This window comes from Homo sapiens, chromosome 7 (genome assembly GCF_000001405.40).
Source record: "Homo sapiens chromosome 7, GRCh38.p14 Primary Assembly".
Classification (NCBI taxonomy): Eukaryota; Metazoa; Chordata; class Mammalia; order Primates; family Hominidae; genus Homo; species Homo sapiens.
In genome coordinates, this window is record NC_000007.14 from 67,024,748 (window position 1) to 67,044,069 (window position 19,322).

Genomic DNA, 19,322 nt, shown 5'->3' on the forward strand with positions numbered 1-19,322 from the left:
TCCAGCCTGGGCGACAGAGCGAGACCCTGTCTCAAAGAAAAAAAAAAAAAAAGAATTTAGAGACATAGTGAATTCTCAGTGTGGGAGGGAGGGTAAGAGAGCTTTGCCTTTGCCCCTTTGAACAATGTATTTCTGAAGCATTTCTCTTCCAGGAGGAAGAACCCTTTGAGAGCTCCAGTGAAGAAGAGTTTGGTGGTGAGGACCATCAGAGCCTAAATTCCATTGTTGATGTTGAAGATTTGGGCAAAATTATGGATCATGTGAAGAAAGAAAAGGTACCGTTACTTTGGGAAATGTTGCACTTGGCTCCCGCAGTTGGTTAACATTTAGTATTTCTTTATTACTGTGTAGTCCATCTGAGCTCACAGAGGAGTTTCATTTCTCTAGCTTCTGTCTTGAGAGTTTTATAATTTTTTTGCCATTTTTCATGAGCGTGGTGAGCATCTCCCTTCTCAGGCCTGTGAAAGTCAGCTCATCAGAGGATAAGCAGGAGATTTGAGAACAAGGACTGAGGACATTGTAGATTGGGGGTGTCCAATCTTTTGGCTTTCCTGGGCCACATTGGTAGAAAAAATGTCTTGGGCTACACATAAAATACACTAATGATAGCTGATGAGCTAAAAAAAAAAAATCGCAAAATAAATCTCATAATGTTTTAAGAAAGCTTACAAATTTGTGTTGGGCCAGTGGGCTGTGGGTTGGACAAGCTTGTTGTAGATGGTTAGAGAGATTTTATTCAGGGCTATTTGAAGATGAACAGCATGATAGGATTTATTATGGTTGAGATTCCAAGTGAAACTCCAGTGTAAATTTGCTTCTCTGCTGTATAGACTAAGTGGTGTTGGGGCTTAAGGATGGCAGCCTGGTCTGTGGGTGTGGAGATCAGCATGACTGGGGCCCCTAGGAATCCAGGAAATACCAATCTGGGATGTGACTGTTTCAGTGACTAGATGAATGTGAGAATGTACGATGCAGTAGGATTTCATGCAGATTCCAGTGATCTAAAATTGAAGTAATATTGTGTATACTATACTATAAAAATAACAGCCTCAATTTAACTGTGAGTTTTGGAAAATGAGAATCCCCCAAATTAAAATTATATGTAGTCCATAAGCCTTAAAAAAAAAAGCTACTAGAAAATCCAAGAAAATCAATGCTAAAACCTATACAAATTCAAATGAACTCAGTAAGGTTAGCAGGATATCATAATGTAGAAAGTCAATAGACTTTATATTTCCAAACAATAGCCAGTTAGAAGCTATAGTAAAAGAGAACACCTCATTTAGACTAGCTACATAAAAGATAAATAATTACCTATCGATTAATTTATTTTTTATTTTTTTGAAATGGAGTCTCATTCTGTCACCCAGGCTGGAGTGCAGTGGTGCAATCTCGGCTCACTGCAACCTCTGCCTCCTGGTTTCAAGTGATTCTCCTGCCTCAGCCTCCCGAGTAGCCGGGACTACAGGTGCATACCACCACGCTGAGCTAATTTTTGTATTTTTAGTAGAGACGGGATTTCACCATGTTGGCCAGGCTGGTCTCGAACTCCTGACCTCAGGTGATCTGCCCGCCTTGGCCTCCTGTGGTGCTGGGATTACACACATGAGTTACCACACCTGGCCTACCTACAGATTAATTTAAAAAGAAGTGTCTTAAACCTACGTTGGAAAACTTTAAAACATTCCTGAATGGCATCAAAGTGGACTCGAACAAATGGAAAGACATTCCTTGTTTTAGGTAGAGTGACTCAGAATGGTAAAGATGTCAGTTCTCTTAATATATAAGTTTGATGGAATCCCAATAAAAATTCTAGTAGGTCCTCTAGACTCTTAGATCTAGATTGATCTATTCATGTGGAAAAAATAAACATGGAATAATAGTTATGAAAACCCTGGTGAAAGTAGTGATGAGAAGGATGAGCCACCACACCCAGCCAGGTCTGCCTATTTTTTTTTTTTTGAGACGGAGTCTTGCTCTGTCAAGACTCCCACATATTGAACCATACCACAAGGTATCTCTAATTAAAACTGTAGTACTGGCTCATGATGAGACAAAGACCCTTGCAACAGAATAAAATTCTAAGAATATGTAGGAATTTCATATATATTAAAGGTGGACTCTGAAGACCTGGAGTTTAAAAGGGACTCTAAAAATAAATTATGTTGGCTGAGTGCAGTGGCTCACCCTGTAATCCCAGCACTTTGGGAGGCTGACGTGATGGGAGGATTTCTTGAGGCCAGAAGTTTGGGACCAGGCTCAGCAACATAGTGAAACCCCATCTCTACAAGAAATAAAAAAAATTAGCTAGTTGTAGTGGCATGTGCCCGTAGTCACAACTGCTTGGGAGGCTGAGGTGGAAGGGTTGCTTGGACCTGGGAGTTTGAGGCTGCAGTGAGCTGTGATCATGTCACTGCACCCCGGCCTGCATGACATTGTGAGACCTTGTTTCAAAAAAAAAAAAAAGATGTGAAACGTCTGTTAGCTTGTATATATGTCAGAATAATTTCCAAATGGATGAGCGAGCTAAATGCTGAATGTTGAAAAAATCATATAGATAGTAGAATCAGATGGATTATTGTATAACCTGGAGAAAGCTTTTCTATATGATTCAAAATCTAGAAGCAATAAAAAAAATTAAATTTATGAATGATTTTAAAGTGTTTTACATGACCATAGTAGAATCAGATGGATTATTGTATAACCTGGAGAAAGCTTTTCTGTATGATTCAAAATCTAGAAGCAATAAAAAAATATTAAATTTATGAATGACTTTAAAGTGTTTTACATGGCCATAAGAAAAATCAAAAGGCAAAACAGGAGGAACTATTTGCCTCTTATATCTCAGACAAGGTGTTAATCTTTTTACTATGCAATGAACTCTTTCAAAAAAAGGCAGACCTGCAGGCGCGGTGGCTCACACCTGTAATTCCAGCACTTTGGGAGGTCGAGGCAGGCAGATCACGAGGTCAGGTGATCGAGACCATCCTGGCTAACACGGTGAAACCCCGTCTCTACTAAAAATACAAAAAATTAGCCAGGTGTGGTAGTGGATGTCTGTAGTCCCAGCTACTCGGGAGGCTGAGGCAAGAGAATGGCGTGAACCCGGGAGGCAGAGCTTGTAGTGAGCAGAGATCGCGCCACTGCACTCCAGCCTGGGTGACAGAGCGAGACTCCATCTCAAAAAAAAAAAAAAAGCAGACCTGACTGGGTGTGGTGGCTCATGCTTGTAATCCCAGCACTTTGGGAGGCCGAGGTGGGTGGATTGCTTGAGGTCAGGAGCTTGAGACCAGCCTGGCCAACATGGTGAAACCCCATCTCTACTAAAAAATACAAAAAAAATAAGCTGGGCATAGTGGCGCATATCTGTAGTCCCAGCTACTTGGGAGGCTAAGGCACGAGAATCTTTTGAACCCTGGCGGCAGAGGTTGCATTCAGCTGAGATCATGCTGCTGCATTCAAGCCTGGGCAACAGAGCAAGACTCTGTCTCAAAAAAAAAAAAAAAAAAGGCAGACCTGTCCAGGTGCCGTGGCTCACGCCTGTAATCCCCACACTTTGAGAGGCCAAGGCAGGTGGATCACTTGAGGTCAGGAGTTCGAGACCAGCCTGACCAACATGGTGAAACCCCGTCTTTTCTGAAAATGCAAAATTAGCTGGGTGTGGTGGCGCATGCCTGTAATTCCAGCTGACCAAAAACCTAGTAGAAAAAGTTGGCAAAACACACGAATAAGAATTTCTCAGAAATGGCTCTACAAAGAGATTTAAACATGAAAAGATGCTTAACTTTACTCATAATAAGAGAAATACAAATGAAAACTACACTGATAAACATTTCTCGCCTTTCAGAATATAATAACAAAACTCCAAAGCTGGATGACATACTCAGTTAGGCGAGGCTGTGAGTAAACAGGCACTCATACCTTGCAGGTGGGAGTCCAGGATGGTCTAGCCTGTATGGAAGGGCTTTTGACAGTTTTTACCAAAATCACATATGCATTTATCCATGATCCAGCAGGCCCAGTTGTATGAATTTGCCTTAAAGATACAGCTTCATTAATGCAAAACAGCATTTCCACAGGCTTATGCATTGCAGCATACATAGCAAACAACTCTGTCGAATACTGGTTGAAAAAAGCATGGTATATCCACACAATGGAATATTGTTGTGTGGCTCTGAATAACACTATGGTGGATTGATATGCATTAATGTGATTTCCAAGTGGTGTTGGATTTTATTTGGACGCTGATATGGACTTTTTTTTTTTTTTGAGACGGAGTCTCGCTCTGTTGCCCAGGCTGGAGTGCAGTGGCGCAATCTCGGCTCACTGCAAGCTCTGCCTCCTGGGTTCACGTCATTCTCCTGCCTCAGCCTCCCGAGTAGCTGGGACTACAGGCGCCTGCCACTGCGCCCAGCTAATTTTTTGTATTTTTAGTAGAGACGGGGTTTCACCGTGGTCTTGATCTCCTGACCTCGTGATCACCCACCTCGGCCTCCCAAAGTGCTGGGATTACAGGCGTGAGCTACCGCGCCCGGCTGGCTGATATGGACTTAAGATTTAAAAAAATGATGTGGACTTAAGATTTAAAAAAATGTGCATTTATATTTGCAAACTTAGTTAAATATGTGTGTGTGCGTGTGTGTGTGTGTGTGTGTGTGTGTGTGTGTGTATATATATATATATATAAATAGTATTTTCTAGCTGGGTTCACTGAAAGACTTTGCATGTTCTGACATCGATCTCTGGCACCAAATGGGTATCCTGTAGTTCAATTCAATTCTGATATATCCTACCCAGAGTTAGTGTCTGACTGGACAGGTTTAGGGCAGAGTCCTATAGAAGACTGCCCTGACTTCAGATACCTGCTGGAAGTCTCACGGCTATCTACTTTTTTGCCGGAATGACTCACAGAACTCCCTGAAAGCACTATAGTTAAGATTGCAGGTTTGTTTTTTGTTTTTTGATGTTTTTGAGACAGAGTCTCACTCCTTCATCCAGACTGAAGTGCAGTGGTGTGATCACGGCTCACTGCAACCTTGAACTCCTGGGCTCAAGGGATCCTCCCATCTCGGCCTCCTGAGTAGCTGGGACTACAGACACGCACCACCACGCCAAGGTCATTTTAAATTTCTTTCTAGAGACAAGGTCTCACCATGTTGCCCAGGCCGATCTAGGTTGCAGTTTTATTATAAAGGCCACAGATCAGAAACGGTCAAATGGAAGAGATACTCTCGGTCAAGGAAGAGATACTCTGGGGAGTGGGCATGAGGAAGAGACACAGAGCTTCTGTGTCCTGTCCTCTTGGAATCCAGGCACATCAGTGTGTTCCTCAACCAGGAAGCCCCACTGAGCTTCAGTGTCCAGGGTTTTTATTGGTATCCCATCATGCAAGCAAGATTGGTTAAATCATTGGGCAGTTGATTAAGCTGAATCTCCAGTGTATTTCCTTTTCTCAAAGGTCAGGCTGGCCCTAAATTCTAATCCTCTAATCACTGGTTTCTTTCTGGTGATCAGCCTTCATCCTGAATCTATTACTTAGGAAATGCCAAGGTTTTTTGAAGCTGTGTACCAAGAACCAGGGTCAAAGGTCAGATATATATGGCTGGGTGTGGTGGCTCATGCCTGTAATCCCAGCACTTTGGGAGGCTGAGGCAGGCGGATCACCTGAGGTCACGAGTTCGAGACCAGCCTAACCAACATGATGAAACCCCATCTCTATTAAAAAAATACAAAAATTAGCTGGGCGTAGTGGTACGTGCCTGTAATCCCAGCTACTCAGGAGGCTGAGGCAGGAGAATCGCTTGACCCCAGGAGGTGGAGGTTGCAGTGAGCCAAGATTGCACCATTGTACCATGACTGGCCCAGATATATTCTTTATTGTGCCACAGACCCAGAAATAATCAATGTACTAAGCACTCAGATCTTGTTTTTCTGAATAGCATTCCTTATGATAAAGGGCTGGTTTCAGGACTGGTGAAAGAAGGGTAACAGATGAGCCCTGGGACATCTTACTGAACAAGTGGGGCCTCAGAGACTTATGGACACCTGCCAAAAAGACGTAGGAACCAACTCGAAGGGTTTCTTACAGGCCAAACTTGGAACAATTAGAGCTTCAAAAAGATGAATGAACGTAATAGATTACATTACATCAAATTAAAAAAAAAATTAGTTGGCCTGGCACGGTGGCTCATGCCTGTAATCCCAGCACTTTGGGAGACCGAGGTGGGTGGATCACCTGAGGTCAGGAGTTCAAGACCAACCTGGCCAACATGGTGAAACCCTGTCTCGACTAAAAATTAGCTGGGCGTGGTGGCGCATACCTGTAATCCCAGCTACTCGGGAGGCTGAGGCAGGAGAATCACTTGAACCCGGGAGGCGGAGCTTGCAGTGAGCTGAGATTGCGCCATTGCACTCCAGCCTAGGCGACAGAGCGAGACTCCATCTCAAAAAAAAAAAAAAAAAAATCAGTCTGTGTGCGGCTCAAACAGGAGGCGTGTTGTGTAGGAGAAGGCTTCTAGATACTAACTATGTAAGGCATGAGAGAATTAGAAAATCAGCTGTTTGCAATTCCTAGTGTAATAATTGATTTAAGCAAGGATTCAGCCGGGTATGGTGGCTCACGCCTGTAATCCCAGTACTTTGGGAGGCCGAGGTGGGCGGATCACCTGTGGTCGGGAGTTCGAGACCAGTCTGGCCAACATAGTGAAACCCCGTCTCTACTAAAAATACAAAAATTAGCCAGGCGTGTTGGCACACACCTGTAGTCCCAGCTACTGGGGAGGCTGAGGCAGGAGAGTCACTTGAACCTGGAAGGCGGAGGTTGCAGTGAGCTGAGATTGCACCATTGCACTCCACCCTGGGCAACAGAGCAAGATTCCTTCTCAAAAACAAAACAAAACAAAACAAATTGGTTTAAGCAAGGATTGTGTGAAATGTCTTTGGGGAATAGATACTCAGTGTCTCAAAATATCATCCCACAAACTAAACCAACTAGAAATGAGGAATGAGTGGGGAAAACCCCCCACATATTAGTTTCTAATTACAGAGGGAACAATGTGCCTTTACAAATGGAGAGATCAGGTGATTCCCACCTACACCAACCAACCAAATTTAGCATCATCATTTCTACTAAAATGTGACCCATGTTCCTGCTGATATGATGTATAGCAAGACACATACACATCATCTCTGTAGTTTCTCGTCAAAAAATGTTTAGCTTGAATCTCATCATGGGGAAACAATGAGACAAATCCAGTATTTGCCACAAGCCTTTTAGACTTTGTAAATGTCAATATCATAAACAATAACAACAAAAAAACATGGTGAGGCGATAACCATTCTAGGATTAAAAGAGACGATGAGAAAATCCAAAAGCATTTTGTAAATTTTAGTCTTGGATCAAAGAGAAAAGACCATTGTCTGGACATTTTGGGAAATTTGCAGTGGATTTTTTTGTTGTATTTTTATTTTATTTTTTTTGGAGACAGGGTCTCACTCTGTCACCCAGCCTATTTGTTAGCTGCTGTTTTGGATCTCCGTAGGGTTTGGGAGCAGCTGCGGGGAGGCAGGACAGATAAACAGAAGTAGGAGGCCTGGCGTGCTGAATTGCACATGTAATCCCAGCACTTTGGGAGGCCGAGACGGATGGATCACTTAAGCCCAGGAGTTTGAGACCAGCCTGGGCAACATGGCAAAACCCTGTCTCTACCAAAAATACAAAAACAAAAATTAGCCAGATGTGATGGCGCCTGTAATCTCAGCTACTCGGGAGGCTGAGGTAGGAGAATCGCTTGAGCCTGGGAGGCAGAGGTTGCAGTGAGCTGAGATCGTGCCACTGCACTCCAGTCTGGGCGATGGGAGTTAGACCCTGTCTCAAAGAAAAAAAAGAAAAGTGGGGAAGTTCTTACTTGATCACTGCTGTCATAGAGGTCTTTGTGCTCACTCTCCTAGTCATGTGTTTTGAGTTGACTCTCTTTCCAGGGAATGTTTTCATGGCTTCTTTGGAGATATCTTCCATGACCATCTCCCTGGCAAGTCCCTTGCGCTGAGCAAAATGTACTCTGAGAAGCTGAGAAGTGTACTTGTCTTTCTTTTTCCTTCTTTTTTGAGCCCATTTTCCAGCAGCAGAGAAGTATACCTTTTTTTTTTTTTTTTTTTTTTTTTTTTTGAGACAGAATCTCGCTGTCTCATCCAGGCTGGGGTGCAGTGGCACAATCTCAGCTCACTGCAACCTCTGCCTCCCAGGTTCAAGCGATTGTCCTGTGTAAGCCTCCTGAGTAGCTGCGATTACAGGTGCGTACCACCACGCCCGGCTAATTTTTGTAATTTTAGTAGAGATGGAGTTTCACCATATTGGCCAGGCTGGTCTTGAACTCCTTACCTCAGGCGATCCTCCTGCCTGAGCCTCCCAAAGTGTTGGGATTCCAGGCATGAGCCACTGCACCTGTCCAAGAAGTATACTGATGGCTGCTTAGTCCCTCCTCTGTGCCCTGTCCCTCTGGCTTCTCTTTTGAAGTCTGTCACCTGCTGTCTGCTCTACTTGACCAATGGGTCAGGATCTGAGATCTCCCTTGCCCCCATCCTGCTGTCAGGGGAACACTCCTGAGTTCTTTATTTGGAGGGGACAGGCCAATTCCTACCCAGCAGCAGTGCTCACTTGCTAATGCAAGTAGCTGATCCGTTTGCTTCTGAATTTCCTAGGCGGCAGCCGTACGTCAATCTGTAATCCTCTGAGGGCGGGGGATACAGAGCAACTTCTTTGAGAGGCTGGATTGGCAGTTTTCTTGTGGGGCTAGAGGTAAGAAGCTGACAGCTCCCTGTAGCCTCTCTCCTTTTGAGGGAGTGGAGAGAACTTAAAGTACCTTACCAACATTCTCTAGAGAAATCTTCAAAAACCCTGTCCCATTACCTCCATGCTCTCTACTCTTTCATCTCTGTGATCTGGGGGACCCTTTTTTTTTTTTTTTGAGACGGAGTCTCGCTCTGTTGCCAAGGCTGGAGTGCAGTGGCGTGATCTTGGCTCAGTACAACCTCTGCCTCTGGGATTCAAGCAATTCTCTGCCTCAGCCTCCCGAGTAGCTGGGATTACAGGCGCCTGCAACCATGCCTGGCTAATTTTTATATGTTTAGTAGAGACGAGGTTTCACCATCTTGGCCAGGCTGGTCTTGAACTCCTGACCTTGTGATCTGCCCACCTCGGCCTCCCAGAGTGCTGGGATTACAGGCGTGAGCCACCGTTCCTGGCCAGGGGAGCCATTTTTAATGTTGTAAAACTGTTTCTCAGATATGTCTTTGAAAATTTTTAACTTGATCTGATCTTCTCTTTGTAGTTTCATTTAATTTATTTATTTATTTTTATTTTATTTTTTTTTTTTGAGATGGAGTCTTGCTCTGTTGCCCAGGCCGGAGTGCAGTGATGCGATCTCAGCTCACTGCAACCTCCTCCTTCTGGGTTCAAGCAATTCTCCTGCCTCAGCCTCCCGAGTAGCTGGGATTACAGATGTGTGCCACCACACCTGGCTATTTTTGTATTTTTTTTAGTACAGACGGGGTTTTGCCATGTTGGCTGGGCTGATGTCCAGTTCCTGGCCTCAAGATATCCACCTGCCTTGGCCTCCCAAAGTGCTGGGATTACAGTCGTGAGCCACTGTGCCCGGCCTCCTTTAATTTAAAACCCTGTTGACATGTGTTTTAAAATTTCACAGACAGCAGTCCTCTGTTCCTGTTTTTCCTGGATCCGCTTTTCATAGTAACCACAGTTTTCAGTTTGACAGTATTCTTGCAGGTATTTTATTGCCTTTTATAAACACATTTGTTTTGGTATAATTTTGTTTTTTGGCTACACAAATGGGATCATTTTGTACTCCTGGTCTACAGACTGCTTTTCTTTCGCTTTAACATGACAGCTTTCTGGTCCTGTCATATTAGATGAATTCAATGTAAGGTTCATTTTAAGGTAGTTCGTAATGATGTCCCACAATTTATTTGGCTCTTGTTCATTAACATTCAGGTGTTTTCTCATTTTTGTAATGGATACTCTTGCTCATATTTTTTGTGGCTGATATAAACTTATCCGAAGAATAAATTCCTAAAATTGAAATTCCGGCGTCAAAGGGAGTTTGTAGTTTTGATATTTCCAAATCGCCTTGTGAAAGTTGCAAAGAGTTTCCCATCTGTTTCCATTGTAGAAGAGAAATGAGAGTACCTGTTCTCTACATCTGAGATGTTATCAATCTTTCAAATCTTGTCAATCTGAAAAATAGTAGCTTTGTGTTAATTTGCATTTTTAAAATTTTGAGTGAGATTGGATGCATTTTGTGTTTATTGTTCATTTGCATTTTTTCTTTCTTTTTTCTTTTCATGTGAAACATTTCTTTCTTTTTTTTTTTTGAGATGGAGTCTTGCTCTGTTGCCCAGGCTGGAGTGTAGTAGTGTGATCTTGGCTCACTGCAACTTCCGCCTCCCAGTTTTAAGTGATTCTCCTGCCTCATCCTCCCAAGTAGCTGGGATTACAGGTGCATGCCACCATGCACAACTAATTTGTATTTTTTATAGAGATGGGGTTTCACCATGTTGGCCAGGTTGGTCTCAAACTCCTGGCCTCAAATGATCACCCGCCTCGGTCTCCCAAAGTGTTGGGATTACAAGCGTGAGCCACTGCGCCTGGCCTGAATCATTTCTTTCTGTCTGCCTGAAATTAGACAAACTGCAAGGTCTGAGACCACAGTCTCCAAGACTGCTCCCACTTTTGACACCAGCTACAGATTTGTTGCGGTCCTTAGACCATCCTCAGGTTGATAATTTGCTAGAAAAACGCACAGAGCTCCCTGAAAGCTTTTATACTCAAGGGTATAGTTCATTGTGAGGAAAGGATACAGAAAATCAGCTAAGGGAAGACATGCACAAGGCAATGCCTGGGAAGTTCCATTGTTCTTTTTGTTTGTTTGTTTGAGATGGAGTCTTCCTCTGTTGCCCAGGCCAGAGTACAGTGGCGCCATCTCGCTGACTGCAACCTCTACCTTCCAGGTTCAAGCGATTCTCCTGCTTTAGCCTCCCGAGTAGCTGGGACTACAGGTGCATGCCACCATGCCCAGCTAATTTTTTGTGTTTTTAGTAGAGACGAGGTTTCACCGTGTTAGCCAGGATGGTCCCGATTTGCTGATCTTATGATCCGCCCACCTTGGCCTCCCAAAGTGCTGGGATTACAGGCGTGAGCCACTGTGCCCGGCCGGTTCTATTGTTCTTAAGTCCAAGGCTCCCATTGTCCTCAGATCAGAATGGTTTTGATATTTCCTTTTTTTTTTTTTTTTGAGGTTTAGCATCAGTCTTTAATGCTGTCGCGCTGCATCGACAACTCACACACTTTGGTGTCATGTTGGCAGTGGCAACTTATAATGAGTCTAAAAGTCTGAGCACCAGACTGGGCTCCAGGGAATAGACATTTGTTCCAACTCCCCCTCCCTCCCCAAGGTTTCTTCGGAATCCTATTATGGCCCTATACAGAGAAGAGTGGCTGCTGGGGACTGGTATTATGTGAGTGCATACCAATTATACATGGGATTATAAAAACATGTTTACAGACGTTCCATAGCGCTCCTCTAATCAGAAGCAAAGACCCTTTTATCAAAAGAGATTATATCTAGGGCTGTGCACAATTCAAAAGGATCAGATCCCTTTGAAACAGTCCATAGTCCATGAAACAAAAATTACCTGGGCCACTGGTAAGCCCCAGGTGTGCCAAGATTCTTTACAGAAATGGAAAGAGTGTGACCCATAAAGTGAGGACATTCAGCTTCACTAGAGCCAGAGGTCAGGAGGGCCCCTTGCTGGGGCCAGGCTCCCAGACCCTCAAGGGAGAGGTGACCGCACTTGCTGGAGTCACTCACTGGAGGCTGGCTCCCTTGGTCGTGCTGGAACAAGAGGTATTGCTTGTGGGTGCCAGCCAGGCAGTTCTGCAGGAATAGTTTAGGATTTCAATTTGAGATGGCCAAAGAGAAGACAGGATTCTTCAGCGGAAAAGGAAGACATGAGAGACAAATAGAGAATAAACCATGAACTGGTCACACAACAGAAGCTGAGTTGTGTACAGGGTCTGGCAGCCAAGGCAGCAGGTTGACATCATTTACCAGCCAGAAGCAAAGAGACTACAGAGGGATCAAGTGCAGCTGCTGGGCAGGGACTGGAGGGAGGAGGGTGTGGGCCCATCCTGGGAGGGCTGCCAGACCCAGTGGGGCAGACCAGCAGCTGGTGACAGACGTCAGCCACTGTGCCTGGCCCAGTTTTTATTGAGCCTTCATTAGCTAGGCATGATTGATTAATTGATTGCCTCTGTGGTAAGGCTCAGTCTTGAGCACCCCCTCTTCCTCCTGAATTTTGGGCTGATACCACATTGCCCTAGGGGTCCGCCATGAGACACCTAATTAGCATAAAATATCAGATGTAGTCTGAAGGGCTCACCATGAGTAACAAAGATACTCCTAGCCGGGCGCAGTGGCTCACACCTGTCATCCCAGCATTTTGGGAGGCCGAGGCAGGTGGATCACCTGACGTCAGGAGACCAGCCTGACCACCATGGTGAAACCCCATTTCTACTAAATAAAAAAAAGAATTAGCCAGGCGTGGTGGTGCATGCCTGTAATCCCAGCTACTTGGGAGACTAAGGCAGGAGAATCCCTTGAACCCAGAAGGCGGAGGTTGCAGTGAGCCAAGATTGCACCATTGCACTCCAGCCTGGGCAACAAGAGCGAAACTCCGTCTCAAAAAAAAAAAAAAAAAAGATAATCCTATCACTTGAGAATGTTCAAGGATTTAGAGGTTAATTTTCCAGGAGCTGGGGACAAAGGCTAGACATCTTATTCTTTATTGTACACTGTGTTTCATCTATTTTTATATTGGATTATTTGGTTTCTTTTGTAAAGCTTATCATAAAAAAATATCCCAGGCTGGGTGCGGCGACTCTGCCTGTAATCCCAGCACTTTGGGAGCCTGAGGTGGGAGGATTGCTTGAGCCCGGGAATTTGAGACCAGCCTCGGCAACATAGCAACACTGTCTCTATTAATAAAAAAAATTTAAAAAATACTGTGATGAATATAATACTCTAACATTATAGTTATTTTCTAAATTTAAAATTAGCATCTTTCTCTTGTTTTAGCATTTTGTTACTTACTTCCTAATACATGTCATGTGTCCTTAATCCAAAAGTCTGAAATCCAAAATGCTTCAAAATATGAAACTTTTTGAGTCCTGATATGACATTCAAAGGAAATGCTCGGGCCGAGCTTGGTGGCTCATGCCTATCATCCCAGTACTTTGGGAGGCCGAGGCGGGCAGATCACCTGAGGTCAGGAGTTCGAGACCAGCCTGGCTAACATGGTGAAACCCTGTCTCTACTAAAAAAATATAAAAATTAGCCTGGCGTGGTGGCAGATGCATGTAGTCCCAACTACTCAGGAGGCTGAGACAGGAGAATTGCCTGAACTTGGGAGGCAGGGGTTGCAGTGAGCCTAGATTACGCCACTGCACTCCAGCCTGGGTGACAGAGTGAGACTGTCTCAAAATAAATTCACGTCCACACCAGGCCGGGCTTGGTGGCTCATTCCTGTAATCCCAGAACTTTGGGAGGCTGAGGTGGGTGGATCTCTTGACCCCTGGAGTTTGAGACCAGCCTGGGCAACATAGTGAGACCCTTGTCTCTACAAAACATAAAAAGTTAGCTGGGCATGGTGGCTGGTACCTGTGGTCCCAGCTACTTGGGAGGCTGAGGTGGGAGGATTGTTTGAGCCTGGGAGGTCAAGGCTGCAGTGAGCTATGATCGCACCACTGCACTCCAGCCTGGACAACAGAGTAAAACCTTGTCTCCAAAATACAAACATGTGGCCAGGCATGATGGCTCACACCTGTAATCCCAGCACTTTGGGAGGCTGAGGCAGGCAGATCACCTGAGGTCAGGAGTTCGAAACCAACCTGGCCAACATGGCGAAACCCCGTCTCTACTAAAAATATAAAAATTAGCCGGGTATGGTGGCGCATGCCTGTAGTCCCAGCTACTCGGGAGGTTGAGACAGGAGAATCGCTTGAACCCCAGAAGCAGAGGTTGCAGTGAGCCAAGATTGTGCCACTGCACTCCAGCCTGGGCAACACAGCAAGACTCCATCTCAAAAGCAAAACAAAACAAACAAAACAAAGGAAATACTCATTGGAGCAGTTCGGATTTTGGCTTTGAAGATTTGGGATGCTCAACTGTTAAGCAAAATGCAAGTATTTGAAAATCTAAAAAAAATTGTGAAATCTGAAAAACTTCTGATCCCCTAAGCATTTCAGCTAAAGCTACTCAACTTGTACTTCCATGTGGCCATGTGGTCTTTGTCATTTTTAGTAGCTTTTGTATTTTGAAGCCCGGGAAGAGGAGCTATTAAGAATGACAAGTAGGCCGGGTGCAGTGGCTCACTCCTGTAATCCCAGTCCTTTGGGAGGCTGAGACGGGCAGATCATGAGGTCAGGAGATCAAGACCATCCTGGCTAACACAATGAAACCCCATCTCTACTAAAAAATACAAAAATATTAGCCAGGTGTGGTGGCAGGCACCTGTAGTCCCAGCTACTCGGGAGGCTGAGGCAGAAGAGTGGCATGAACCCAGGAGGTGGAGCTTGCAGTGAGCCGAGATCCCGCCACTGCACTCCAGCCTGGGTGACAGTGTGAGACTCCGTCTCAAAAAAAAAAAAAAGAATGACAAGTAGATGGAATATGGGTACAAGGTCTGGTCCAGCCAGATTGTAACTTGGTGATCTAAAGGTACAGTTTAACCTTCCCTAGCTTTAATCTCCTTTCCTGAGGAACATAGAGTTGTTGTATATGAAAGTGCTTTATAATCTTGAAAAGCCCGACAGACATTGAAATGAGCATTTTATTATTTTTTTAATTACTTTTTTTTTTTTGAGACAGAGTCTCACTCTGTCATCAGGCTGGGGTGCAGTGGCGCGATCTCGGCTCACTGCAGCCTCTACTCCCTCTTTCAAGTGATTGTTCTGCCTCAGCCTCCTGAGTAGCTGGGACTACAGGTACGTGCCACCACGCCCAGCTAATTTTTGTATTTTTAGTATAGACGGGGTTTCACCGTGTTGGCCAGGATGGTCTTGATCCATTGACCTTGTGATCCACCTGCCTTGGCCTCCCAAAGTCCTGGGATTACAAGCATGAGCCACCATGCCTGGTCTATTTTTTTTTTTTGAGATGGAGTCTCACTGTGTCACCTAGGCTGGAGTGCAGTGGTGCAATCTTGGCTCACTGCAGCCTCCGCCTCCTGGGTTCAAGCAGTTCTCCCATCCCAGCCTCCCGAGTAGCTAGGATTACAGGCATGTGCCACCATGCCTGCCTAATTTTTGTATTTTTTGTAGAGATGGGGTTTTTACCGTGTTGGCCAGGGTAATTTTGAACTCCTGACCTCAAGTGATCCGCCCGCCTTGGCCTCCCAAAGTGCTAGGATAGCCACCGGGCCTGGCCTTGCTTAAACATTTAAAATTTGCTTATACATTTTCTTAGAGTTGGTCATTTGATGTGCTTTCAAGTTTTCTGCTCTTATAATTAACACTGGTCTGAGACCTTTCTTACTTTTGAAAAATGTATGAATGTTTTCCTACATTTACACATTCCCCATATTGATATACTGGGTCAACGTGAATGTGTAATGTTATGACTCTTAATTAAAAATCTGAGTAATTTTCATTGGTGAAATTGTCTGAAAATGATGCATGTGATAGCTGATTGAGAGATTTTTGTATTTTCTACCAGGTTAAGCTTTATTTAAAAGCTTTGTTTAGCAGGGCGCAGTGGCTCATGCCTGTAATCCTAGCTCTTTGGGAAGCCTAGACAAGTGGATCGCTTGAGCTCAGGAGTTTGAGACCAGCCTGGGCAACATGACGAAACCCTATCTCTACGAAAAATACAAAAATTAGCTGGGGGTGATGGTGCGTGCCTATAATCCCAGCTACTGGGAGGCTGAGGTGGGAGGATTGCTTGATCCCAGGAGGCGGAGGTTGTAGTGAGCCGAGATCACGCCACTGCACTCCAGCCTGGGTGACAGAGTGAGACCCTATCTCAAAAAAAAAAAGAAAAAGAATTTAAAAACTTTGTTTATAGTGGGTGAAGAGTTTGGGATAATTTGTGGGTATGTAATTTTCTTTGCTTTTTCATCTTATGGCCATTAGAGGGCACTGGAGAAAACACTAATGAAGATTTCAGACATCCATGTACATTATTTTTTTGAAATGAAATGATTTTGGGCTTTATGAGCTTTAAGCAGCTGGTTTATGATATTTCAGATTTCTCATAAAAATCTCTCATAAAATCATCAGGTCTTTGGGAAAAATACGTGTTTTTTCCCAATTTTGGTATGACACAAAATAAGCTACCAGTTTTCATTTTTCATGATTGTTAGGTTACAGCAGGGTGTTCAAATAGATCTTGTTTTCGATTTCTATGGGATATGGGATACTAAACTTGGCATTGGAGGTTTTTACTGCTTGGCTTTTCTTTTTCTTTTCTTTTTCTGGCATTTTGTTTTTTCTTTTCTTTTTTTTGAGACAGTCTTGCTGTGTTGCCCAGGCTGGAGTGCAGTGGCACAATATCATCTCATGGCAGCCCCCGCCTCCCGGGTTCATGCAATTCTGCCTCAGCCTCCCCAGTAGGTGGGATTATAGCACCCGCCACCACGCCCGGCTAATTTTTGTATTTTTAGTAGAGACAGTGCCTCGCCATGTTGGCCAGGCTGGTCTTGAACTCCTGACCTCAGGTGATCCACCTGCCTCAGCCTCTCGAAGTGCTGGGATTACAGGTGCAAGCCACTGAGCCTGGCTTTTTCTGGCATTTTCTTTGGGGCTGGCTCACACATTCCCCGAATGCTTTCCGCGTGATCATCCATGACACACCACATGAAATTGCCTTAGTTGTTACTGTCGAGGGAAGTAGTACGTGCCAGTGCTTAAGAGTTGGGTCGAAGCACTGTCATTGTAAGACTGGTTTTTGAGTAATACTCACTAACTTTCATGGAGTCATACGTCTCAGCTTGTGTATCTGGACAAATTATTTTACCCCTCTGTGCTTCCGTTTTCTCATTTGTAATGTGGGAGATAACAGTATCTGCCTTATAAAGTTCTTATGTAGATTGAAAAAGTTAATCCAGCCGCATTGTATTTTCTTGTATAGTAGTTAATATATTTTTTATATAATAACATTATATTCTAATTCTATTAGAATTAATGTATAATTATATTAGAATTATATAATTATATTAGAATTAATATATAATTATATTAGAATTATATAATTATATTAGAATTATATAACAATTATATAATTAGAATTAGAATATAATTTTAACTAATTATTCTGATATAATTATATATTATTAGTATAATATATAATTAGAATTAGAATATAATATTAACTAATTATTTCAATATAATTAGAATTAGAATATATTAACTATAATAGTTAATAATTAGCTTATATAAGTATATGTCTTCAAATAGGATAGATTTGGTCCTACCAAAACACCACCTTGGTATTCTACCTCCCTCCCTCTGTAGTACTATTTAAGACTTCTTCTAGGACTGAAGATAATTTGAAGTATGAGAGTGGTTTCTAAGAACTAGAGCACTAAAGTTTGAAACACTGGAATGTTAGGGAGACAGATGGAGATATGGGAGGAATAGGGTGTTAGGGGTGGCATGTTTGGGGAACCCTAAACAGTTTGGTGTGCCTAGAGTTGACTGGGGGTAGGGATATTTGGAGCTGTGACATAGAGAAGGAAGATGGGGTAGGATCCTAGAGGCTTCTCAAGTCCTGCAGTGGAGGGGGCTGAGCTTTCTCCTGAAGGCAGTGGGAGGCAATGTGATTTGATTGAATTGGAGAATGGGTTAGCGGGTGTGGGGAGAGAGGAGAGTTCCAGTGTAGGTTTAAAATATTAGGAGGCCGGGTGCAGTGGCTTATGCCTGTAATCCCAGAGCTTTGGGAGGCTGAGGCTGGTGGATCACCTGAGGTCTGGAGTTCAAGATCAGCCTGGCAAACATGGCGAAACCTCATTTCTACTAAAAATACAAAAGTTAGTGGGATGTGGTGGCACACGCCTGTAATCCCAGCTACTCGGGAGACTGAGGCAGGAGAATCGCTTGAACCTGAGAGATGGAGGTTTCAGTGAGCAGAGATTGTGCCTCTGTACTCCAGCTTAGGCAACAGCCTGAGACAACCCTGTCTCAAAAAATAAAGGAAAAAAGGAGAAATCAAAATACATACTAGATTATCTCACTCAATCCTCACAGTGACCTTGAGATGATCAAACTATTATCATCTGCAATTTACCATTTAACAGATAGCAACTGAGGCTTAGTTTAAGCAATTTGTCCATCGTCAGTTGGCTGGTAAGTTGACAGGCTCAAGCCTGGACTCCATCTGTCTGTGTCACTCCTCTTGGCTGCTTCCCCAGGGAGGAGTGGTTCTCAGAAGAGAAGCTGTAGTGTTTAGAGAACCATGAGTCAGGAGGAGCCTGATAATTTTTATATTGTTTATTTTCTCTTTCTCTTATGTTGTGGTTTGTAAATGTAAAGCCCATTGCTACTTTTTTTTTTTTTTTTCCTGCAGTAAATAAATGTTGCTAAATAATCCCCACAGCAATGTTCTGGCTAAGCAGACAAACACTAACATCAGCATCATTAATTTTGGAAATAAATGGCAAATGCTTGACAGTTACTCACTGGAGAAACATTTCCATTTGCCAGCTATTTAAATTGCAGAAGGATCTCAGTATGTCCAGTTCTGATTATAAATTTCTGTTGGTATTGCAGTGGAATAACAGGAAGCTAGTTTCAGAATTATTTTTAAGGCTTTGGAGTGTTTACTTCACCTAGAAACAAGAGGTGATATCCTTTCAACCCCAATACACTGCCCTTAAACCATCTTGACTCACCATGGTCTCTGTAGCTAGGAGCACTTAGCAATGAGTCCCCATGTTATCTTGTTAAGGTAGGTTATCCAAAATAGAATTACGGTGTCAGAGTAAAGCTCTTGACACGCTTGGGCACGCTGCTTTTCCACCAGTTCAAAAGGCATTTTTAGAACTCAGTATATACAAAAGCTTTGCGTAATGGTGAAAATTGGTCATTTTAAAACTGAACCATGACTAGTGAGTGATATCTTGGAGATTCATTTATTAAAGAAATAGGAATCTAAATGTGGGGTTAAATTGCAGCAAAAGTTATTAAATATTAATAATTTAATTTTTTACTGTGATTCCTTTTCAGTGATATAATTTTTATTAGTTTAGATTAA

General features: G+C 43.5%; 1 protein-coding gene across 6 annotated transcripts in view; it reads left to right on the forward strand.

Annotated features, from left to right (window-relative positions):
- Positions 1–19,322, forward strand: part of TYW1 (tRNA-yW synthesizing protein 1 homolog) — a 242,682-nt gene that overhangs the window by 27,915 nt on the left and 195,445 nt on the right. For all 6 annotated transcript variants that reach the window (NR_134540.2, NM_018264.4, XM_017012392.3 and 3 more), the window contains exon 7: positions 153–275. Coding sequence is in view for 5 of the 6 variants with exons in the window: in NM_018264.4 (NP_060734.2) it covers positions 153–275 (123 nt within the window). In the remaining variant the exon portion in view is untranslated. The remainder of the gene's footprint in view (positions 1–152; positions 276–19,322) is intronic.